The sequence below is a fragment of the Homo sapiens genome, chromosome 10 (assembly GCF_000001405.40).
Source record: "Homo sapiens chromosome 10, GRCh38.p14 Primary Assembly".
Taxonomy (NCBI): domain Eukaryota; kingdom Metazoa; phylum Chordata; class Mammalia; order Primates; family Hominidae; genus Homo; species Homo sapiens.
In genome coordinates, this window is record NC_000010.11 from 110,989,113 (window position 1) to 111,014,040 (window position 24,928).

The following is a 24,928-nucleotide window of genomic DNA, read 5'->3' on the forward strand; positions in this document are numbered from 1 at the left end:
GAATTCTTTCATCATGGTAAAAGTATTCCATGTGCAGTTTAATGTGTATTCTACTTTTGTTGGGTGGAGTGATCCATAAATATGAATCATGGTACAGATGAGGCAATCAATGAGTTTATTCTACTTTCTGCCGTTTCTGGAGGAGTCTCTTTTTCTTCTTATTTTTGTTAACTGCATTGTCAGCATAGGTAACATACCTTGTTGTACTAATTCCCATTTTTGTTTTAGTCTTAATGTTTATCAGCAGTCCTGTTGCCATAGTTGCCTCAGTCATTTCTTGGTTGGCTGAAGTCAATCTGGTTGGTAGTCATTTGCTCAAAAATGGTTCATGGGAGCAGTATTCTCCTATAGTTCTTGCATGTGTGTAGCTTTTATAATTTAAGAACAATTTAGATAGATACAAAATAATTGGATCAAACTGCCTTTCCTTGAGGATCTCAGTAGAACTTGTTAACAGGTAGTTCTACCTTCTTCTGGAATTGAATGTACAAAAATAAGAGGCCAGTCCATTTTCTTTTTTCCCCATGATAAGTGACTTAGTCATTTTGCTTGGCCAGCCAAAGTATTATTTCTAGATTTCTGAAATTTTAAGAACTATATTTTATTTATCAGTGTTTATTTTTCAGGATCATATTTTCCTAGTATACTCTGGGCCAATTCAACATATAGGTTTAAGTTTTATTTCAGTACAGTGTTCTTCAGTATATTCAGTATATATTCAGGGTATATATGCTTTCTGTTTGCCATATATATTCAGTGTATATTCAGTATAGTGTTCAGTATAGTAAATATGTCACACAGTGACATATTTAGTTTGTGTTGTATGTTTTTACATTAAAATATGTATCTGTAAGTTTGGTTAGTATGAACAACAAACTAATTGGAATGGTAAAGAAGAAAAGAAAGAATAATGCATAATCTCATCATAATCACTTTCAGTGGAATGTCACATAAAAGCACTTTCAAAAAATGACTTTATAAGATCCAAATTCTTAGTCTTAGAAAAACAAAATGTTCAAGGGCTGAGGAAGGCGAGCGCATGGCGCGGGACTGGCAGGCAGCTCCACCTGCAGCCCTGGTGCGGGATCCACTAGGTGAAGCCAGCTGGGCTCCTGAGTCTGGTGGGGACGTGGAGAGTCTTTATGTCTAGCTCAGGGATTGTAAATACACCAATCAGCACCCTGTGTTTAGCTCAAGGTTTGTGAGTGCACCAATGGACACTCTGTATCTAGGTGCTCTGGTGGGGACGTGGAGAACCTTTATGTCTAGCTCAGGGATTGTAAATACACCAATCAGCACCCTGTGTTTAGCTCAAGGTTTGTGAGTGCACCAATCAACACTCTGTATCTAGCTGCTCTGGTGGGGCCTTGGAGAACCTGTGTGTCGAAACTCTGTATCTAACTAATCTGATGGGGACGTGGAGAACCTTTGTATCTAGCTCAGGGATTGTAAACGCACCAATCAGCGCCCTGACAAAACAGGCCACTCGGCTCTACCAATCAGCAGGACGTGGGTGGGGCCAGATAAGAGAATAAAAGCAGGCTGCCGGAGCCAGCATTGGCAACCCACTCGGGTCCCCTTCCACACTGTGGAAGCTTTGTTCTTTCGCTCTTTGCAATAAATCTTGCTACTGCTCAAAAAAAACAAAAACAAAAAACAAAAAAAAACACAACAAAATGTTGCTTTACTCTACTGCAAATCAGACAGGAGAACCAAAATTTAAGATACTTGAAATGTTATCAAGTGATTTTCTTATCCCTCTCATTGATGTTTAGTCACTATGTATATCTTAGGATATTAAACATGCTAGACATTTTATTGTTTCTTGAACATATCAGGTAAATTCTAGCCTTGAGATCTTTGTGCTTCCCATCTCTCTGTTTAGAACTCTTTTCTCCTAAATATCTGTGTAACTTTGCCTGCTCCTTCAACTGATCAGATAGATATATATAGCATGATTTTCATTCGGCCTTCTTCTCTGTCTCAAATAGTCTAACAATATTTTATTATTTAATATTTTTATATATGTGTCTGTATCTCAAACTTGTTAAATAACAGTCAAAGGGGCATGCGATTAAAGTACTGAAATGAATAATCCTGGTAAACAGAGAAAGCATAGGTGGTGATATATGATACAGTCTTCTAGTAAGTAGGATTAGTGTCCTATTGGAGGTAATTCTTCTGTGTTTTAAGTGTGTTTACTAATATGAAAACATTTGATTTTATTATTAATCTCTTGTAGTTTAGATGTTATCCTAGAATAACACATATGCCTCACCTCTAGCTTATTCTATAGGGCCAGATTACAGTATTACAAATTGGAAATCAATGAGAACTGAAACATTAACAACAAGAAAATTTTAAATAACATTGCATTTACTTTTATATGCTTTGATGGTTGTCACCAAGTATAGTACAGCTGTTACTCTGAGTAAATGGCAAAGTAAATTAGTAATATTTATTGAAACTTTTTATGATATTGTAGTCATTTATCGATTACCATGTTTATTAAAATAATTACTTTATCTTTCTCCATCCTTTCCAGTCCTAGTATTTTGATGATGTAGCAGAAGATTGAGGTTTGGTGGGAAACTTTGACGTTTGGGTCTTGGTCTGTTAAAAATTTCAACAGTTTTAATTGACCTTTGAGATTTTCACTCTCATTTATTGAAGATGAAGAATTTACCCTAAGTAGTGGAAACTTAATTGAATTATGGTTCTCCTGATACTTCTCCTTTTTTAAATCCTACTCTAGTTCTGAGAAAGTATAACTTAAAATGAAAAACAAACAGAAAGCCCAACACCTGTTCTGCAGAGTTGATGCTAGTCTGGAAGCAGCTGCCCACTCTCTTTTCCTTGGACTAAAGAATCTTGCCCTAAACTTGTAACTGAAAATCAAATCTTGTATTGTCTTAAAATCACTTCCCAGAAATCACTGTATTTACTTGCCTTTTCCTTTTTTTCTTTTTTCTTATAAGTAGACCAGAATGTTTTTTACTTTTTTCTTTATTTAACATGAACATTCCTGGAGTAACTATCACTCCCCTGTGATAATTACTGCCATTTACTTCCAGGCTGAGAAGCTAGTATCGCTGACAACTCATAGGATGTGAGGAAGAGACAGAAGGAAATGGGTTGGGGATTACCAAGTTGCAGTTAAGTAAGAGAGTGCTTAAATACATATTTATAGTTTCTCTGATTTAACTGTTAGTCTGCCTTGTTGAATAAAAAAAGTATTATTTTATATGAATATTTTCTCATTCAGAAATTAGCTATGAACAGAAGAAAATATTAAGCTTTATTCCAACAGTTATTTTGTTTTAAAGTATGAACCTGATGTTTTTTAAAGCCTTCTGGTACCTCTGGTAGTTTTATGTAATCCAGGGAAGAAACAGTCCGAAGTAGGAAAAAATACTTTACTTTGTATTTCTTCTCAAAATGAGATTAGGAGAGAACTGTGCCACAAAACCTTGCCTTCAAGGCTGGAGTGCAGAACAATTCACAGAAGCCTTTTTGTTGCACTGGGCTCTGAAGAAATGTTACATTAATTATGGTTATATCAACAAGTAGCATTTTAGTCATTTTAGTAATTGGGTTTTAGGTAATTACAGTGCAGCGTATGTATAACAACTTTACTAGTTTTCTTTTTAATGGTGGTGTTCTTTGGGTTTTTAACATTCAGGAATTTCTGTGTTGCTTACTTTTCAGTTTGCTTTCAGTTTAATGTTTCTGAAAAAATAATGGTACCTTTGACATTTCATCCTTCCAACCCTGAGTCTTTCCTACTATTTTTTTTGCTACTTTGTTAAAATAAGATTATGATCATTTAAATTAGTCTTACTCGAAAGTTATACTAAATTAAACTAAAGTTGCTGGTTATATTTGCTGAAATTGAAAGAATCTAATTTTAATTCATAGCCATTTGATTTCACCATATTTTAAAAATCTGACAGCGTAAGAGAAAGCAAGCTGTCAAAGTGGAGCACAGAACAATTTGTAGACAAAGTTAAGCACTTGAAAGCTAAATGCCAGTGATTGGCAGTGATCAGCCTACGTTTATATACAGGAGCTCAGCAACAATGATTTTATTTCTTAGTCAAGATGGCTCAACATTAAAGCAAGCTTGTGTTGATTTCTAGGTTGCAGTTTAGTTTGTGGTTAAAACCACTCATTGAGAGGGGTTAGAGCTGAAACCACTGCAGAGGGTGAATCACAATAAATGCCAGACTTCTGATGTTTTCTTCTGGCGTAAAAGAGTTTTGATATTTCATCCTTAATTTTTTTAACCTTTTTTATTTAGCTGAGAGTAATGGACTTTGGCAAAATGTGGATGACTCTTTGAATTTGCCAGTGGTCTCAAGTGATAGGGCCTTTGCAAATGTGAGATTTCTTCATCAGAACAGCCTATTCTCATAGATTACATTGTTAGAAATTCAACCCCTTCCGCCCCAGCAAAAAGCAAAAAATTTAGATCCAAGAAAGGTGGAGGTACCTTTTAATTTAAATTACTACTGGTTTTGGTACTAGATAATGTCATGTAGCAATTTGGCTACATTATTTTTATTTTGTAATTTTTAAATTCTAGGAACCTACTCTGGTTTTAAAAGTGAGAAACTTAAGAGTTATTTGGTTTTGGATGAGAAATTTCAAGAATCTGGTTCTATTTACTAGGCTTTTGAGTTGACAAACATTTAGAATTTGGTTCCCCTACTAACCTTTGTTACCACAGAAAGTTTTTTAGTTTTCAGTGAGAATAAAAAACATTTAAAATATTGTATTTATCTACCATGATACTGTAAAGGGTTATTGAATGAGGCATGTCAGTTGATGGAGTAAGATCATGGAGACTTCTCTCTGTTAATAAATTCTCCCCTCTTATGGCAGACTTCAAAGACCCCTTGGTGAAAGATTCAGCCATTTTGTTACAATGGATCAACTTTCTTCCATAGGGAAAGCAGTGATGTAAAGGAGAAAAAGGGATGGTCTTGTTTACTTCCATTTTTTTTTTTAAAGGTTAGCTGCCTCATTTTATCTGCAGCTGCATACAGGAAATTAAAATTTTATCAGAAGGTTTTGAAGTTCTTTGTAATCAGACATGATCACTACTTGGAGGAAAATGTTCACTTCTGCTGGCCTTGCTGTAGCAGTGGCCATAGGAATGGAATAGGCAAGGGATAAAATGTTGATACCATCCCTCCCCATTTTACAAGGATGTGAGTAAATGGGGGCTATTCTTCACTCTTAGTGGAAATAAAAATGATATAGCCTTTTGTTATTTATTAAAATTTTAAATATCTATATCATCTGACACATAAATATTTTCACATGTGCACAAAGATACATGTCTAGGGGTATTCATTACATAATTCTTTTTTAAAAAATTAAATGCCATCAGTTGAGCAATGATTGGAGAGATAATGGTACACATGACATGAAACACTTTACAATGGTTAAATAGAATGAGGTATATCTGTGTTTACTCAGCATAAAAATATTTCTATCATCTGTTATATGGGGGAGGGGAGAAGCATATAGAATGATCTCATTTATATGAAAGCAAACACATAAACATAAGAAATCCCTGTATTTTTATACATATAAATAAGTGTTTAGAGACAGGTCTCAATAGGTATGTATCAGACTATAAACCATGGTTATCTAAGGAAAATAGGAAGATACATTTATATATTTTATAACTAAAAGTGATGTGGTGGGGTGGGAGGAATGCAGAAAGTTGGAATTGTTAGTAGTTCCTTCCCGGCTGATACCTAAGCATGGACTGCTCAGAAGTTGGGTATCCCAGAAAAATTCCTGCAAATATTTGTAGAATGATTAATTTGTATTCAGATAGACCAGATGAACATATATATTTTTCAATTATGTCCAATAAAGTCTGTGTTTCATAGACATGCTATTTTATAAAATAAGAATGGGTTGAAGAAAATAGATTTTTATGGGCCTTTCATATAATTTTTTGTATCTTGTTCCTAATGGAAAGGAGGATAAATAATGAAATGTTTTAGTTTCTGTAATTATTAAGAAAGTATGAATTAATGCCTATTGTATGCTTAGCACTGAAACCAATTCTGTGGAGAGAAGTATAGCAAAGCTCCTCACTTACTGGGTTTTCAGTCTGGTGAGGGAGATAACTAATCCATGAAACAGTTAACATAAGACCAAATATAATTAATTGCCAACTTACGGTGAAAACAGTGTGCTGGTATATCCAGTTTACAGAGAGGTCGGTAAGAGCTTGATAAAATGACTAAGAATGGCTCAATGAACAAATGCATTGGACTCAGTATGGAAGAAAAATGCAGTCCATGAGCACAACAGTGAGGACAGTCAAACAGCATGAAGGTGAGAATGAGCACAGCATGGTTCTGTGACAAGGAAACAAGCTAAGTGGAGCAAAGTCAATGAAGATCTTGAAGGCAGATTTGTTGATAGGGAGCCAACCAAGTTGGATTCACCAACTAGCTGGTGACTGTGACAAGTTACTTCACAAATGTTATGGTAAAGTCCCTGCTGATTACCCTCAGATGGCTCTTACTGCTGCTTCCTAGGTATCTTTTTCATTTCTTTTTATCAAATGTCACAGGATGGCTATCTAAAACTTAAAACCACCATACTCATTTTTTTCACAATTTAGCTTATGTGTTCTCTTTATGGAGAAGATGACCCTTACAGTGTAAAGTGCCCAGACTTCTTACTTCTACATTTATTTTCCCTCTTTGCTTATCTTTTGTTCATTCTCTCCTGTTCCTAGAGACAGAGATGTTCCTTCTTTCTAAGATTAACTTTTTCACTTTCTTTATAAAGCCAGCTTTGATCCTTTGTGTTGGAAGTTGTCTCCCCCATCTCTAAACATTCAGAGATTTTGTTCATACTTCTTTTAGGGTATTATCATAGTCAACTAAGTATTATAGTTATTTGTGAAAATATACCACTGTACTGTAAGCCTCTTGAGAGAAGAGACTATGTCTTGTGTGGCACTATGCAATTATACAGCAGTTAAACAATAAGTAGCTAGCTTGATGGGTGGAGGTATATTACGGGAACCCCTAGAAGCTAGCAAAGAATGTTTACATTTGATACAATAGGAAATAGGTTGTTTTTAGTATAAATGTTTTTGGCCAGGTGCAGTGGCTCACGCCTGTAATCCCAGCATTTTGGGAGGCTGAGGTGAGTGGATCACTTTAGCATAGAGATCGAGACCAGCCTGGGCAACATGGCGAAACTCTATCTCTACAAAAATACAAAAATTAGCTGGGTGTGGTGGTGCATGCCTGTAGTCCGTGCTACTCCAGAGGCTAAGGTGGGAGGATCACCTTAGGCCAGGGAGTTTGAGGCTGCAGAGAGCCATGATTGCGCCACTGCATTCCAGCATGGGCGACAGAGTCAGACTCTGTCTCTTAAAAAAAAAAAGAAATGATGAGGGTGGGATTGGAGAAGGGACAAACATGAGAAATATATTTTGAGAATACAAATAGAATTTTGTGACTGACTTGGAAGGGATGAAACTGATACTAGAAAACATTTTTAACTAGATAAATATGTACTTATTCCCTTCTATAAAATACAGTTTTATAGAATACAACCTACCTTTTTAATGTTTCTCAATTTTTGCTTTATTATAATAAACTTTCAGTAAACATCAAATACATATTACCAGTGTCTGGCTCTGCACTAGAGTTCTGACAGTGGATAACTCACTAAGTGTAAAAATGGACACAGACATGAAATAAACATTTATAATATGGTGTAATCATGATGATAGAGGTATTGGCACAGTGCTGTGGGTGCTCCTGTGCACTTGTCGAGAGGTGGGTAGAGCTTTATCACAGAGCATAGAGTTAAGTGAGTTAAGTATCAGGAAACTAGGAATTCTAAAATGAATTTTGGGCATTTTTATTTTGTTCTTTATTTGGCAAATGGTGTATACTGTTTATTGGCATTTTCCCCTTGGTCTTTGCATTGCTAAGATATTACATTTTGAACTTTAAAACAAGTTGACTTAGAAGCCAGAATTAAGTGAAATAACCTGCAATATATAGTCTAATATACTATTAAAAACATGTACAGGCATATAATGCAAATTGGTCACATTATATAAAATATCTCTGTAATGTAAAATATTCATCCAAAAGAAAAAGGATAGTGGAAGGATGTCACAATTTTTTAAAAAATTAAAATGACTTTAGAACTATAGCTCTATTCTTATCAAAATGTTTTTAAATTTTAAAATATAGAAAATTAGGAAAAATGTAGACAAAATGAAACAAATTTTTAATTGTTCTTCCATAATTCTGCCATGCAGAGATAACAATTAGTTTTGATACATTTTCTTTCCCTTTTTTTGCATGCCTGTTTCTTACGTTGTTGAAATCATACAAAATGCACAATTTTATCATGCTTTTTCCCCCCCAACTTAACATCATACCTGAAAGTCTTTCACATCTTAAAACTTTTTATAACATAACTTTAGTATGTACAGAATATTGCAGAATATAGACATACTACAGAATGAAAATTATATATTGAACATCTATTATGTATCTGTTAGTCATGGTGCTAAGTATCTTACGCACGTTATATCTAACCCCTAGAGCTACCCTGTCAGGTATGTGGCATTATTTCCACTTTATGGATAAGGAACAGACACAGAGAGGTTAAGTAACTTGCCCATGGACATATAAATGATATAAAATACTTTGGTTTTTCTATTACATTGTGATGCTTCCAATTTAAATAATTATTCTTCTGTTATTGAATATTTAGATTGTCCCTATTTTTGCCATTATATATGACTTAATTAACATATTTTGTCATAAAGCAAATTATTTTCTGCCAACCCAGCTTTTAAGTAACATTTTTATTATAGTCTTTTTTTTTTTTTTTAATGAGACAAAGCCTTGCTGTGCCACCCAGGCTGGAGTGCAATGGCACAATCTGAGCTCACGGCAAACCTCCACGTCCTGGGTTCAAGCCATTCTCCTTCCTGAGCCTCCCAAGTAGCTGGGACTATAGGCACACACCACCATGCCCGGATAATTTTGTATTTTTAGTAGAGATGGGGTTTCACCATGTTGACCAGACTGGTCTCGAACTCCTGACCTCAGGTGATCCGCTTGCCTCGACCTCCCAAAGTGCTGGGATTACAGGTGTGAGCCACCATGCCTGGCCTAACGCAGTGATAGCAATAGTGAATATTCTCGTTCGTATTTCTAACCTCTAAATTTTCTGGGGCTTTGGAAAGTCACTCAATTTTTTTTTTTCTCCTGAGGAATTGACACGTCTCACCAGAGTGTCATCAGAAAGACACTGATGAAGTCACTAAGTGAAGCATCCTTAGTTAATTTACAAAGCTTTTTAAAGACTAAATTAACTTGTCTTTGCTAAGTGGTAGTTTTTTATTGTTGCTTTTGTACTCCACTTTGTGCCGGTTGGAATCTCACTTAATTAGACCCAGTAAACTCTTGGCCCAGTTTCCAAACACTATTGTACAAAAGTGATGTATTAGTAAATGAGTATAGCATACCTATGGAATAGTTCTAATTGGAAGAATTGAAGTGGTGGTTACATTTTTCTGCGTTATAGTTGACAACTTATGGCATAGAATTATGAGTATTTTTTTATTATCAATGACTGATTCTTATCTTGAAAATGTAAAGGCTAAAAATTAGCTCCAATTACTCATTATGTGTAACTTCACTCACTTGATACTTTCAGCAAGAAGGAAAGATGCAGATGATTGATGACCAAATAAGGATCATGAGGCATAAGGAGTGCCCTCTTAAGGTGTCAAGGCTTAACTTATGCTATAGACTAATGTATGTTTTCTGTAAGTATTGTAGTAATATTGCATCTAAGAAAGTAAGTTGATCATATGACAGCTTTTTGAACAATGATTAAAGCAAAAGGAGAGAAATGGACATCAAGAGGTTGTGAAGGCTGAAAGGACTCAAAATACTTATCTCCAAAAAGTTAAGTGTTGACACAGGCTTCCACTTCTGTAATTTCTAACACTGGAAATAACTGTTTAATTTAAAAGTAAAGGCTACATTTGACATTTTAACCTGGCCCATCCAAGTATCTCATAGCAACAGTTGTGATTTGAAGTCAAAAAAGAAATTAATCAGCCACAACAAAATAGTATATTGGATGAAATTCTTGTCTTGTTAGCTTTTTTTGTATCAAAATTAACTTATTTTTAACGTATATTGTTTGCAGAATTGAATTTGAGTTGAACCATATATGATAGCAGATGTCATTATATTCATCATTCATTATATATAGTTGGCCATGTAGTCTTGGCAAGAAAAGTAGAAAATAAAATGCTCAGCTGGGCGCAGTGGCTCACGTCTGTAATCCCAGCACTTTGGGAGGCCAAGGCAGCAGATCACTTAAGGTCAGGAGTTCAAGACCAGCCTGGCCAACATGGTGAAACCCCGTCTGTACTAAAAATACAAAAATTAGCTGGGTATGGTGGTGGGCACCTGTAATCCCAGCTACTTGGGAGGCTGAGGCAGGAGAATTGCTTGAACCTGGGAGGTGGAGGTTGCAGTGAGTCAAGATTATGCCACTGCACTCCAGCCTGGGTGATAGAGTGAGACTCAGTCTCAAAAAAAAAAAAAAAAAAAAAAAGAAAGAAAAGAAAAGAAAGTGCTCTTCTGTTTATTTATTCGATAATGACTATTTTGTGCTCAAGCTGGATATGCTTAGATAAAAGAGACTATAACTTTCACTTTGGTTTGTAAGTTTTGGGGAGGGGGTTGAGAAATTTTTTACCATCAGGCCAAGTTTTCAGTATGGAACCTTTCTGATCTCAGAAAATAATTTATATTTTAAACAATACCATTTTAGAAATTTGGAAATTTCTTCTCCAAAATTACGTGTACATACTTATATATAACCACTTGTTCTAAATTGGATCATCATAACATAGAACAAATGGAATAAGTATTGTAAGTTTAAAATATACACTGCTTTGATGCAGTTAAATTAGGCCTTATCTAAAGATTAACTTGTTAAAGTATGCCAATACTTTATCTAATCGTTCATTTAAAAATTAACTTAACAGCTGTGTATTTCATTATTTCTCCGAGACAAGTGAGCATAAAAGTGATTTCAATTTCATCCTAATTGATAGTGTAGTGTGAGTTCCTTGTGCTAGAAGTTAAGGAACTTGCTGAAACAGTACTTTGAAGTAATTTGTAAATAGTTAGTAGATAGCCTGTGACAGTGAGAGGCTCATCAGATTTTGTAAAAAATAAATTTCTTTTTTTGTGTGTGTTTACAGGAAACCTGTCCAGTTTAAGTCGTCTTGGTCTGAGATATAACAGACTGTCAGCAATACCCAGATCATTAGCAAAATGCAGTGCACTTGAAGAATTAAATTTAGAGAACAATAACATTTCTACTTTACCAGAGGTAAGAAGTGGATTAGAGAAAACAAGATTTGAAATGAGTCTGCAAGATAATTCAAGGAAAGCTAGTAAATCTTTATAGCAGGGTAAATAATTTGGTGATTGAGATTGTTTAAATAATGAGTATGCTGTGAATGTACCACCACCGCTGAAGTAACTCCAAACAAGAAAGAATGGGTATATGAACCTATTAAGTTTTATGATTATTATTTTTTTAATGTAAAGAAAAAGGGAAAAACTAGGAAGAAAGTAAGTGTGCTGTATTCTACTTTAGCACCATGTAAATCTTTCTCATTTCATTTTGGGAACTGACAGTAAAGGTATTAAGGAAAAACTATATGGCTGGTTTTAAAATTCAGCTACCCCACCCAGTTCAGTTATAAAAAGAAAGATGATAAGTGATACAGAATGCACTATCATCAAAATTAATATTAGCAGCAATTCTCCTGTGACTCAAATTATTACCTTGTTTATGCAATAATATTAAGGCCTATTTAGTATAGAACAATCGCCAGAATCTTTTTTTTTTTTTAACACATTTTTAGGTTTTGTTGATTCTATTAGAAAAATATTTTCACTTATTTTGCTTAGGGATTAATTGGGTAAGATATAATACTTTTTTTTTTTTTTTTTGAGGCAGAGTTTAGCTCTTGTTGCCCAGGCTGGAGTGCAATGGCGCGATCTTGGCTCGGCTGCAACCTCTGCCTCCTGGGTTCAAGCGATTCTCCTGCCTCACCCTCCCAAGTAGCTGGGATAAAAGGCACTACCACGCCCGGTTAATTTTGTATTTTTAGTAGAGATGGGGGTTTCACCATGTTGGCCAGGCTGGTCTCGAGCTCCTGACCTCCAGTGGTCCACCCTCCTCGGCCTCCCAAAGTGCTGAAATTACAGGCGTGAGCCACCACAGCCAGCCAATATAATACTCTTCTTTTAAAGTTGTCTTTATCAACATTATTAGTCTTTTACTATTGACTTTCTTTTCCCACCTATTTTAGCATGTCGACAATGGATGTTTGCTTATAGTTGTTCAAGCATGTCTTTCTGTAGTAATGTAACAAAAGAATTGGGGACTTATGGATTGATTGAGCTTTGCAGAGTCTTTTTTTGTAACAAAAATGTCTTACGTAAGTGCTGCTACTATGTTTTGACTTGGTAGTTTTTCTGAGTATGTGTGTGTGTAATCAAATTAAGAACAAGGGTTCTTTAATAAGGTCAGGCGCTGTAGCTCATGCTTGTAATCCCAGCACTTTGGGAGGCCGAGGCAGGCGGGCGGATCACTTGAGGTTAGGAGCTTGAGACCAGCCTGGCCAACATGGCAAAACCCTGTCTCCACTAAAAATACAAAAAATTAGCTGGGTGAGGTGGTGGGCACCTGTAATCCCAGCTACTCAGAAGGCTGAGGTAGGGGAATGGCTTGTGGCTTGAACCCGGGAGGCAGAGATTGCAGTGAGCCGAGGTGACGCCACTGCAGTCCAGCCTGGGCAACAAAGGGAGACTTTGTCTCAAAAAAAAAAAAATAAGTGAAAAAATTTAAATGGATATATATCCAGTCTTATTGTCAGTGAAGTGAAACTAATAATTCCTGGGTACCTATTAGGAAATACGGATTTTCCTGGGAGCTTGTTAGAAATGTGGACTCTTGAGCCTCACTCCCAGTCCCACTGAATATGGGAAAGTATGAAGTCATAATTTAAAAGTAATCAGTGTGCTTTGGAAGCAGCATAGTCCCAATGCAAATGTGAAATTATCCGCATTTATAGTAAGGAAAACAATAAAATCCATTAGACAGCACTTATGAGATACTCAAGCTGGGTTAGGCAAGAAATCATGAAAGTGGTTTTCAATAAGGGCATATTAAATAGCTGAAATCAGAGCTGCTAAAATGACTATTTTGTCATTTGAAGACTGTCTGAAAATGGACTTATTTTAATGTAGGTGTATACATATAGAAAAGGAACTAATAATTTGAACCACATATTCCCAAGGCTTGAGTCTAGTTGCTCTACATGTATTGTCTCATTTAATCTTTATCATAAACCTACTAGTTATTGGAGTATCCTCATCAAACAGATAGCGAAATAAGGCTTAAGAGAGGTTATATTTTTGGCCAAATTTGTTACTTTAAATATTTTTCTGGAAGTATGGTAAGAGGTATATTGATTATCTAATTAATCCACCAAAGTTGACAAAACTTAGTAGAAGGTGTAAAATAGAAGCCTAGATGTGTCTCATTCTAACAAAAAAAAAAAAATGATAAGCAACCCCTGCTTCACAATGTGACTAAGAAATGAGAGCTTGAAGAGCTGGCTTCTTGTTGCCCCTTCTCAAATATACTCAGTATTAACATTTTATCATAAGAGTCAATTCAATAAAGTAAGTCAGTTGTAAGAATAAAAAGAATCACATTTTTTGCCATGAGGCTCAGTAAAACTCCTTTATTTTCAATCGTGTAGCCTGTAGAGATTTTTCCTGAATTGACTGCCATGCAGTTTTCTTGCCACTGTTTTACCTCTGTTGTTCCTTTTGTTTCTGTACAACAATACACAAATTTTAAGGGTAGCTTCTTAAGGTACAGTATAAAGAACAAGTTTCAGTTCTCTGTATAGTTATATCCTCAATTATATAGTTACTTCATTCCTTCAGATGGCTTTGCCAATTATACTGTCACCTCAAGTACTAAGTTTTCAATTTGCTGATGGTGGACAACTGAAGTTTGAACATTATTTTAAAAACATACATACCTCATACAGTGCTTGCTTCTCCCTGCTTGTGCTTTTACTTTGAATCTAGAGTGTTTCTTCTATTTCTCTGAGTATTTTAAAATGTTTTCATCCTTCAAGATCTAGCTCACTGTCAGCTTTCATCCTATTTTTCCAGTTATTCCAGTTTTCCTTGCTTTGAATTTAAATAGAGAAAGGACTTAAAATTTAAGCACTTACTTCCTACTAGGTATTGTTAACTTATTTATGTATTTTATCGCTTTTAGTCTTCACTATGGCCCATAAAATATTATTATTTAAAAAATGATACACTAGGTTCGGAAAAATAACTTGCCAAAGTCACAAGCTATTTAAAGATAGAGTCAGGATTCAAAACAGTTTATAGCCTGTACAGGATTTCTCAGATGTTAATGAGCATGCAGATCACCTGGGAATCTTGTTAAAATGCATATTATGATTCAGTGGGAGTGGGGCCCAAGAGTCTGCATTTCTCACGAGCTCCCAGGGGATGCTGATATTGCTCTTCCTTGGCCCAGACTTTGAATAGCAAGAGCCTATTATATATAATTGATTATTGATTATATACGGTCGTATATTATTTTCTAATTATTTCTTACCTATGTACTTCTATAAATAGAGCTTAATCTTCTTTACCGCAGAGATTCTTTGGTAATACCTGAATATTTTAATACTTTGGTTAAATGGTGAGAGGCTAAAGTAGGGCAAGATGGGGTTATGTGCTAAGTAAATACTTGTTTAATGGGTACATATATGCCCTCAGAAATTTTACCATATAGAAAAGCGGTGTATTATACAGTATCAGGAAGCATAATCATCTACTGAATTTAATAGTTCCTAAAAGGAATCTTTATGTTAATCTTAATAATTTAGAGAGAGGTATATGACTAAGACTAGGTAGGATTGGTCACACAGCCAGTGGCAGAGACAGGGCTCAGACCTGGGACTGTCTGACACTAAAGTTTCTGCAATGTAGAAGTTTCAAATTAGTCACCCATGAGGCACCTCTCACACACAGACATGTTTTCCTTACTCCATACAGTGTTTTAAATAAATTGAAGCCAAAGAATAAAAATTGGGAAAATTTTCTGTTTCCTCCTATAAAATCTGGAAGTCTACATTGGTTCCACATTTCTGCAAGGCACCAAACTGCTAGAACTGTGTAGTGACTGTCCCTGTAGAGAAGTGTCACAGACTGCCCCAACCAGTCTCTGTCATTTGTCACCCCCCAAAGCCCTTTGAGGCATTTGTGTTGGGACTGCTGTTCTATAAAAAATGAGTCTCATCACAGTTCTAATTCTTATGTTTATTTCATTTTTTTTACAGAGTCTTTTATCAAGTCTTGTGAAACTGAATAGTTTGACCTTAGCTAGAAATTGCTTCCAGTTGTATCCAGTGGGTGGTCCATCTCAGTTTTCTACCATCTATTCCCTCAACATGGAACACAATCGAATCAACAAAATTCCATTTGGAATTTTCTCCAGAGCAAAAGTATTAAGTAAGCTGAATATGAAGGTAAGCATATATTTGTTTACTAGGGAAAGGAATTGCTTTAATTGGTACTTCCACTAATATTTATGTTTTCTCTAATTGTGTGGGGAGTGGGTACTTGTACCTTGCTGATGGGTCTAAACTGATCATAAGACATGTCAGGGTACTTTGTATCAGATAACAAATATCTTAGAACTGAGCATACCCTTAGGATTTTGTCCTAAAGAAATCATTGTCCAGCTCAGTGGCTGATGCACCTGTAATCCCAGTGCTTTGGAAGGCTAAGGTGGGAGGATCCCTGGAGGCTAGGAGTTCAGGACCAGCTTGGGCAATATAGTGAGACCTTGTCTCGCAAAAATTTTTTAAAAATTAGCTGGCCTGTGGTACCAGCTACATGGAAGGCTAGGGCAGGAGGATGGCTTGAGCCTGGGAGTTCAAGGCTGCAGTGAGTTATGATGGCACCACTGCACTCCAGCCTAGGCAAGAGAGCAAGACCCTGTTCCCCATCCCCCCAAAAAAGGAAATATGAATGTCTATAAAAGTATAGTTGTAGGGATATGTATTGCAGAGCTATCTATTTCATAGGTACCAACTTATTAATAGAGATTTAATTTTGTTAAGTAGTTTATCTTTAGTGGAATACTGTGGAGCCATTAAAAATCATATTTTGGTCTAAAAGAACACTACGTACTAGTTGAAATATTCTCATTTTATCAAGTGGAAGAAAGTTAAAGCATGTAAAAAATCTCTTCCCACCCAGAATTTTTGAAAGCTGTTTTTAATATGCTTAATTGTATATTAAATATCTTTATATTTATACGTATAGCTGGTTTTTGCCAAAATGTTTAGAGATCAGAATTATTTATGGGTGAACGTTAGTTTCCTTTTGCTTACCCACTCTACAGTGATCGAGTTTCACCTTTGTAATGAAATTCATTGCAAAAGGAGAAAACAAATGGAAAATTATCAAGTTCAGTGATTTAATTTGTACTGGACAAACTTTAGGCCCAAGGAAGGTAACTGAATTGGCCACATAGCTGATAGTATTCTTCCTGTCATGATGAACCATTTGAACATAGTTGTGGTTCTTTAAACTATAATCTTAAATGTACAATTTTTAAATTTCATCCACACTTGCTCATAAATATGGTGTGTATCTTTTATGATGATTCTTTGGAAGTATATGATAAGTAAACTAATGGAAATTCAAGATACTCATACAGTTTTAACAATTGTAAAATTTCTTGTTAATCAGTCTGGTTATATGAGATTTAACAGTGGTAATGGTGTTGATTCTGAACATTCATTTTGTAGTAATAGGCTTAAAACACAATGGTTCAGGTGTTCATTAGTTTATGCATTTGCATGTAAGTAACAGTAGTAAATTTTTAAAAATGAAAATACTTTATAAATCATACTATAAGTGTCAGTAGTTTAGGCATAGATAGGTACTAAGCTTAAATATTACATAGATAACAAGTTTAAATATTACAATAAAAGAAAAAGTGGGTTTTCAAATGGATGCTTGCTACTTGGGATTTCTTTTATGGGTCATTTTGTGTGAAATGAGACAATCCATGTGCAATGCAGCAAATTTTTTTTTGTTGTTGTTGTTTTTGAGACGGAGTCTCGCTCTGTCACCCAGGCTGGAGTGCAGTGGCGGGATCTCGGCTCACTGCAAGCTCCGCCTCCCGGGTTCACGCCATTCTCCTGCCTCAGCCTCCCAAGTAGCTGGGACTACAGGCGCCCGCCACTACGCCCGGCTAATTTTTTGTATTTTTAGTAGAGACGGGGTTTCACCGTTTTAGCCGGGATGGTCTCGATCTCCTGACCTCGTGATCCGCCCGCCTCGGCCTCCCAAAGTGCTGGGATTACAGGCGTGAGCCACCACGCCCGGCCGCAAATTTTAAAGATACAGATTAACATAAAGGATATAAAATAATACTGCCACTGAGAGGTAGCATCACTGTTAACATACTGACATACATTGTTGGTATTGAGCTGGATGGGGTGTTGATTATCCTCTCCCAATACCAATACCCCTAACACATAACATTGTGGTACGAGTTGTTATTGATGAAAGTATACTTTATAAGTGAATAAAAGTGGCATACTTTTTTTCTGTGGACAGCATTGTCTAATTTTTAAACCAAATTAAGACCATATTTACTGTTTCCTCTGTTTTGGTGATGAATATATTTTACCATTTTTTTCTTATGGATTTTTAAAGTGAAATGGTAAATACCTGATTAGTGTTTTAATGATTTAATTTGCTGTCTTTTTAAGACTGTTTTTCCTCCCCTACTTTACTGCTCAGCACCTTAAGAATTCCTGAGCTCATTCTGGTTTCCTTATGGGCTGTCATTAGATGCGTCTTCTTCTATTGTTTTCATATCTTTATTTGAGCATTTATATTTTATTCAGTGATTTCTGCATATTGTGAAATTGTAAAAACATCATATTTATCATAGGATCTTTGAAATCTCCAGTGTTTCTCTGTATACTGTGTTTTTCTATTTCCATTATAATCACATAAGGAACAAACTTCCAGTTTAACTCCCAAATAAAAGCCTCATTACTGTATAAAAAACTTTGGAGGCTTAGAGTTTTCTGTTGCTGATTTTTTTTCTTTCTATATTTAAATATCAAAAAGGGGAATAAGATTTTGTTTAATTAAGAATTCTCTTTCCGAAGTGACAGGTATATATAGAACTTTGTTTTTGTGATTCTACCTTGGATGCTTCTTTTTGTCTTTGCCAGGACAATCAGTTAACATCACTTCCCTTGGATTTTGGAACTTGGACCAGTATGGTAGAATTGAATTTAGCCACTAATCAGCTCACAAAGATCCCTGAGGATGTGTCTGGTCTCGTTTCTCTTGAGGTTAGTATAAATGAGCAATTAGAGAACTTCAGAACCTTCCATACGTATCTCATTTAAAAATTTCAAATTTAAATAAGCAATTTCTATTTGGGTGAATGTCATAATTAGAAATGTTAGAACTCACTTAAACATACAACCCTAATAGGATAATGAAGTGTTGACTTAGGTAGTCTAGATTCAGTGCTTTTGAATTTCTCTTGCCTACTACAAGTTGGTGTCTTTGAGTGCCATAAAGTATTAATATCTCTAAAAGAAAAGTTCTGTAAAAGCATCTTTTAGAACAATTTTTTTCTTTATTCTGTTTAAAAACTACACCATTGTCTACCAAAATAATTATCGATTCTCAGACTGTCATTTAGAATGCTTTATCATACTTTTTCATCCTAATTACCGACCTGCTATTTTATTTACTCATTGATTATTGTCTTTGTTGTAAATCTGGTATGCCTATTTCTAGCCCTCTAATTTTAGTCCTATTGTTTTCTGTATCTAGAATGCCCTCTTCTCATCCCCTTAGTTTTTTTCTTTTAGTATGTTTTTCCATAATTAAAGATCCATCTTATTTTCACCTCTTCAGTTAAGGATGATTTCTCCTGCTTCTGAGTTCCTAGAGTTTTCATCCCTTTGATGAAAATGCTTACTAATAGTAAATATATTGCTTTTTAAAATTTCCTTCATATCCATGTTTTTTAAAGGTCTAATTTTTAAATTATTTAATAAGGTGAAATAGTATGGTTTAATGGCTAAAAACATGGGCTTTGAAGTCAAACAAAGCTGAGTGTAATTATCTCTGTATATTTATGTACTTAACTTGCCCAAGCTTCAGTTTCTTAAGCTGTGAAATGGGGATAATAAGAGTATCTACCTTGTAGAGTTGTAGTTAGGATTAAATGCAATAATGCACATAATGCATTCAGTACAGTGCCTTGCAAATAGTAAAATCAAGTGGTGACTGCTGTAATTATTTTCTCCATCTTACTGTATATATTTATTATGGGTGGTGTAACATTAGGGAAAATAAATGAACATAAAAACTTACCCAGAACCTTACGTATCTGTTTTACCTATTGCTCTTTCTCCCAACCCAGTATTGTCTCCTTACCTTTCTGCTAGTTTGTAACTTTATCGGAACAAAGGCTATCTTCTCTGCCATTTTAACCCCCTTCAGTATCTTCCAGGATGCTTTCAGTGTAATAAGAACACCACAGATAATAAATAGAGTGGATTGATATAGCAAGTTTAGAAGGTAGCTTTTACCTTCCTTAAGTAATGGTTTGTAAGGGATTTTGAATAAATAGTTTCCTATTAGATAAACATTTGTAACTATTGAGCATTTTTTTGAAATTTCATTAAAATTAAATTGCTTCTTTTGTTTTCATTAGTTTTGATATAATCAAATAAAATCTCTTTTCTAATAACTATGGTGTTTTTTTAGAAAAGTAAGTTAAATATTTTATATGTTATATAATTGAACATCACCCTTAATATTCACTGTTTGGAAAATTAGCATTGCTTAATAGATTTTAAGCCACACAATGACAGTATATAATTTCATTTCATGATTTCCTAAACATTATCAATAATTTCTCATTAGGTTCTTATCTTATCAAACAATCTTCTAAAGAAGCTTCCCCATGGTCTTGGAAACCTTAGGAAGTTAAGAGAGTTGGATCTAGAAGAGAACAAATTGGAATCCTTGCCAAATGAAATTGCATATCTTAAGGATTTACAGGTAAACATTATGCTGATTTTGTAGTTTTATAAAGTTTTTGGAATCTGTTCCAAATTCCACATTTCTCTTAAGATTTTGATGTAATTCTTGGATCAGATAGACTTTCCTATTCTAGTATTAGGGCTGAGTTTTATGTTCATATAACCTGGCTTTGTTTTCCTAACAAATGGTATTTTGTGAAAGAAAAATATGTAATGTAAGTGATTCTCATTCTATCCAATCTGGTTTCCCTGTTAATTTATTTTATTGTTTAGACATATTATTTTCAGTTTACATTAAATGTAGGAAATATATTTGTAACTCTCTTTTATTTTGTAAATCTTTTAGAAATTAGTCTTGACAAACAACCAGTTGACCACTCTTCCCAGAGGCATTGGTCACCTTACTAATCTCACACATCTGGGCCTTGGAGAGAACCTACTTACTCACCTTCCTGAAGAAATTGGTATGAACCCTGTGAATGCTTGACTCTGTACTAATAATTTGCTCTTGTGCATTCAAGCAATATTTCAGATAAATATGACAAATCTATTGTTTTTTAAACTGAGGTTATATCAGGCTTAAGATTTTTTTTTTTAATAGAGCACCGATGGTTGATTGTTGATTGGTTTTGGTTAGGTTTCCTAAAGGCTGTTAGGATTGGTTTTAAAATTAGTACTGTATTTGAGAATGTTTTGGAATACTTACATTTCCAATAGGTTTTATGTATAACCTCATTTTAGAAGTTATTTTATATTCCTTCTAAATTTAAAATTACACAGGCTTGAATTAGTAATGTTTTATGCCAAAAGAACATTTATGAGATTTTAGAATTAATATTAATATTTAACCAATATTAACATTTGGGAATACTTAACATTTTCCAGGTGTTTTCATTTCCATTATTTTATGTAATATACATGACCACCTGGAATTTTAGACAGTGCAAGTTGTAATCTTGCTTTATAAAGAGAATTACTTGATTAAGGTAATTAAATGTTAGCTTTTAAATTAGTAATTCTATGCATTAATGTTTTCCCATCTATAGTGCACTGTCCCACAGGAACTATAGGTTAGTAAACACCGCATGTTCTCCTCATAGGTGGGAATTGAACAATGAGAACACTTGGATACAGGGTGGGGAACATCACACACCGGGGCCTGTCGTGGGGTAGCGGGAGGGGGGAAGGATAGCATTAGGAGATATACCTAATGTAAATGACTAGTTAACGGGTGCAGCACACCACCATGGCACATGTATACATATGTAACAAACCTGCACGTTGTGTACATGTACCCTAGAACTTAAAGTATAATAAAAAAAAATGGTTTTGGAGATAATTGACAATTCAAAATCTAGCCCTGCTGCTTATTGGCTTTGTGACTTTAGGTAAGGTATGTAAACTCCCTAAGCCTCAAGTTTCTTACCTGTAAAATAAAGATGATAATAGGAAGTTCTCACAAGGTTGTTCTGAAGCTTAAATAATATCTTACATGTAAACAAATTGATTACATACTAGCTATTATTTCTGTTATTTTCTAATAAATGCCACTGTGAAATATTCTGAATTTTGAAATTTAAAAATTGGAAACACATGAGGCAAATTTACACCTATATTTCTAGTATATTTATTCACCTGATCTCATTTAATTGCTTGAGACATTTTCCTAGAGAATACAAGTATCCTAAGAAAAAATTTTTAAAGGTCTACATAAGTCAGTTTTTGGCTTACTGCCATATATGTGATAACTCTTAGTGAAAGGTTCATATTAAGTAACAAATATTTTGCACATAAGAAATTTATTAATTTGAGAAAATGTTACATCTACAACAGAAAAGTGGTTATAGACATTGAATATATAATAAGCTCACCTTTGGAGTTTTAAAATATATATAAGTAAATGTTATATATGTGCCAAACTATCCCAAACAGAATCTCTGGAGATGGGGCATATGTATTTTCAAAAACCTCTCCAAGCTTGAAGACCTACCATAAAGGAGGAGGTTCTAATTTAGTTTGTATGAAGTGTGACCTGGACATATAGGAGTTTAAAAAGTCTTCCAAGTTGATTTGAATATGCAGCAAAATTTGAGATCCATGGTTGTAGAGTTTTAAAGCTAAGAAAGGAGAATAAAAGGAAATGTGTGTTCAGTATATGTAATGACCAGAACAGCATCATGCCCAGTTGAACTTTTAAAATAGCAACTAATTTTTAAAAAAAAATTGATTTTTTTTTTAAACAGGTACACTGGAGAACCTAGAAGAACTGTATTTGAATGACAACCCCAACCTGCATAGCCTTCCCTTTGAGCTGGCACTCTGCAGCAAGCTTTCAATCATGAGTATTGAGAACTGTCCACTCAGTCACCTTCCACCTCAGATTGTTGCTGGGGGGCCTTCTTTCATCATTCAGTTCTTAAAGATGCAGGGTCCATATCGTGCCATGGTCTGATATAAATCTGCTGGTCCCACACACTGTTCAAAAATAGACTGCCATTAATGTTTCTTATCTATATCTGTATCTATTTATGTAGATATTGGTATATGGCAGATTTATAAAAATTGCATTATGTGTTTCTGCTAATAGAGGAATCATAGCCATTTAGAATTTTTTTTAAATTCTGTACAAAAGGCTTATATAAGTTTTCTTTGCTGAATTTGATGGATGTTTTTCTGTTGTGTAATCTGATATGCCAGTTTGCTTAAAACATTTGCCAACACATTATGAAGTTATTAAATTTAAGGGACAGAGGTAGTATAGTTAGATATACTTTCTCTTAGGAAAAATAATGGGCAAAAATTTTTGTTGCAACTTTTCATATATATTTTCCCCTTACCAATTGTTTTATCCTTATAGTATTGTAGGCCCTGAAAGTAGAATTTTTCTTTAACTTATTTTGAGATTTGAGATTTAAATTTTATGTATTGTTTACAGTCAGAGTAAATCACTGGATTTCTTTTGTTTGTTTTGATTTGCTCTGTTTTATTCAGTCAAATCTAGAGTTTGAATCCTCTGCTAAAGAATTTGCATCCACTGGTGTAAACAGTGAAAGGTATTTGCTTGTTGAAAAAAAAAACTGGCAAAGTGAAAAGATACAGTCAAAAATCTAGAATTTCTTTAATTTTGCTTCTCTGACGAGTTGTGAAGCAAAATACCTGAAGTGAGTCTTTGGGTAGGGGAAGGGTATTGAGACCTTTTCTAGTATGAATATTTTTTAAGTTTGGGGGAAGAGAAACTTGCAGTGAAAAGGAGTTTTTTCATTCCTGAAAGTTGCAGATCCACAAAACTAACAGGATAATTGGGCAAATAAATTACATATAAACACACACAATCTATATATGTATATACAATGCTATATAGATATGTATTTATTATATCATAAACTACAGTAGGTAACTTTAAGGATTTCTTCCTATCCTTGTACAATGACATGAATGTCTTTCTTTGAAAACTGCAATGTATGTATGTTTCAAGGTTATTTAACAGTGTACTATGGTTTTATATCTTGACTTGCCTTGTACATCTTTCAATTCTGGAATATCTGTGTCTAAGCACAATATCTTCACACTGTGCTGTATTGCTGCTGAACTAAATGCACTTTTCCCCACATATGGGGCACTGGCTTCAAACAATTCAGTTCAGTATCATTACTTTTAATCTCATCTTTCCTTTCTTGGTAGTTGTTAATACAGTTATGGAAAAGAGGCACATTGCATAGAAGCCATTGGGGAGTTCAGTGGAAGTTCTGTAAGATGTGCATGTACTATTTGATGCGTTTTCTTTGCTTCACTGCTTTTAATACTTAGCAGTATTGTTGGTCTAAGTCAATTTGATTATTGAGGAGTCTCAGAGCAAGGTGCGTTCTAGATGTCATCCTAAAAAACACTTCATATATAATTAATCACTATTTTGTATAATTACATATTGCTGCTTGTGTGTTTTTTTTTTTTTCCATTTAGTTGGGCGTTGTGTTTTACACAAAACCATTTTTGAATTAAGGCTATGATATTAAGATAGAAATTTGGACTGTTGTTCTGCTTTTCCTGGCACTCAAATTCATGACTAGTTTTGAGGTCAAACCTATGTTCGTAATGAGAGATTTTATAAGGATCAACTAAGAAATGGAAGGCAGGTGAAGATATAAAACCCTAGAATGCTTAAATGTGCTGTAAAACTATTGTAGATGTCACTGGATTTTACCAAGTAATATCCTTTCTTTTTTTTTTCCCCCCATCTGCTGTGGCTTTTCAGTTAAAATTTTGTTTATAAAAGGAATTTGTTTATTACAGCTCTACCTAGAGCTTGTGTGTTTGTGTGGTTTTTTAAATCTCGTATCCAGGTGTGTTTATATATTAAGATGTTGGGACTTGAACTTTAAAGGTAGTAACTAAATGTCTTTTCTTAAAAAAAATGGTTATTGTTTCTTAAAATGAAAATATGGTTTTTAAAGCATTTTTGTTCCACCTTTATGTTAATCTGTAACAGTAATGTAAAACGATCAGTCTTACATGTAGAAGTCATGCTGTGTGTAAACAATATAATGACAAGTTATAAAAAATTTTAAAGAAGTATAAAATGTATATCCTCTGTAGGCTGTCACCTTGTGAGAGCCCACAAATTTCATTATTTCCCAAGAAACTAAAATGGACTCTGATTAAGATATCCCTGTGAAA

General features: G+C 34.5%; 1 protein-coding gene across 13 annotated transcripts in view; it reads left to right on the top strand.

The window, feature by feature from the left end:
- SHOC2 (SHOC2 leucine rich repeat scaffold protein) overlaps nt 1-24,553 on the top strand; it is a 94,296-nt gene extending 69,743 nt beyond the window's left edge. For 10 of the 13 annotated variants that reach the window (NM_001324336.2, NM_001441185.1, NM_001441184.1 and 7 more), the window contains 6 exons: nt 11,303-11,433; nt 15,494-15,682; nt 18,419-18,541; nt 20,136-20,273; nt 20,601-20,718; nt 22,498-24,553. In NM_001324336.2, the coding sequence (NP_001311265.1) occupies nt 11,303-11,433; nt 15,494-15,682; nt 18,419-18,541; nt 20,136-20,273; nt 20,601-20,718; nt 22,498-22,706 (908 nt within the window). In that variant the 3' untranslated portion in view covers nt 22,707-24,553. The remainder of the gene's footprint in view (nt 1-11,302; nt 11,434-15,493; nt 15,683-18,418; nt 18,542-20,135; nt 20,274-20,600; nt 20,719-22,497) is intronic. The other 3 variants (NR_199808.1, NM_001441191.1, NM_001441187.1) reach the window with 2 other exon arrangements.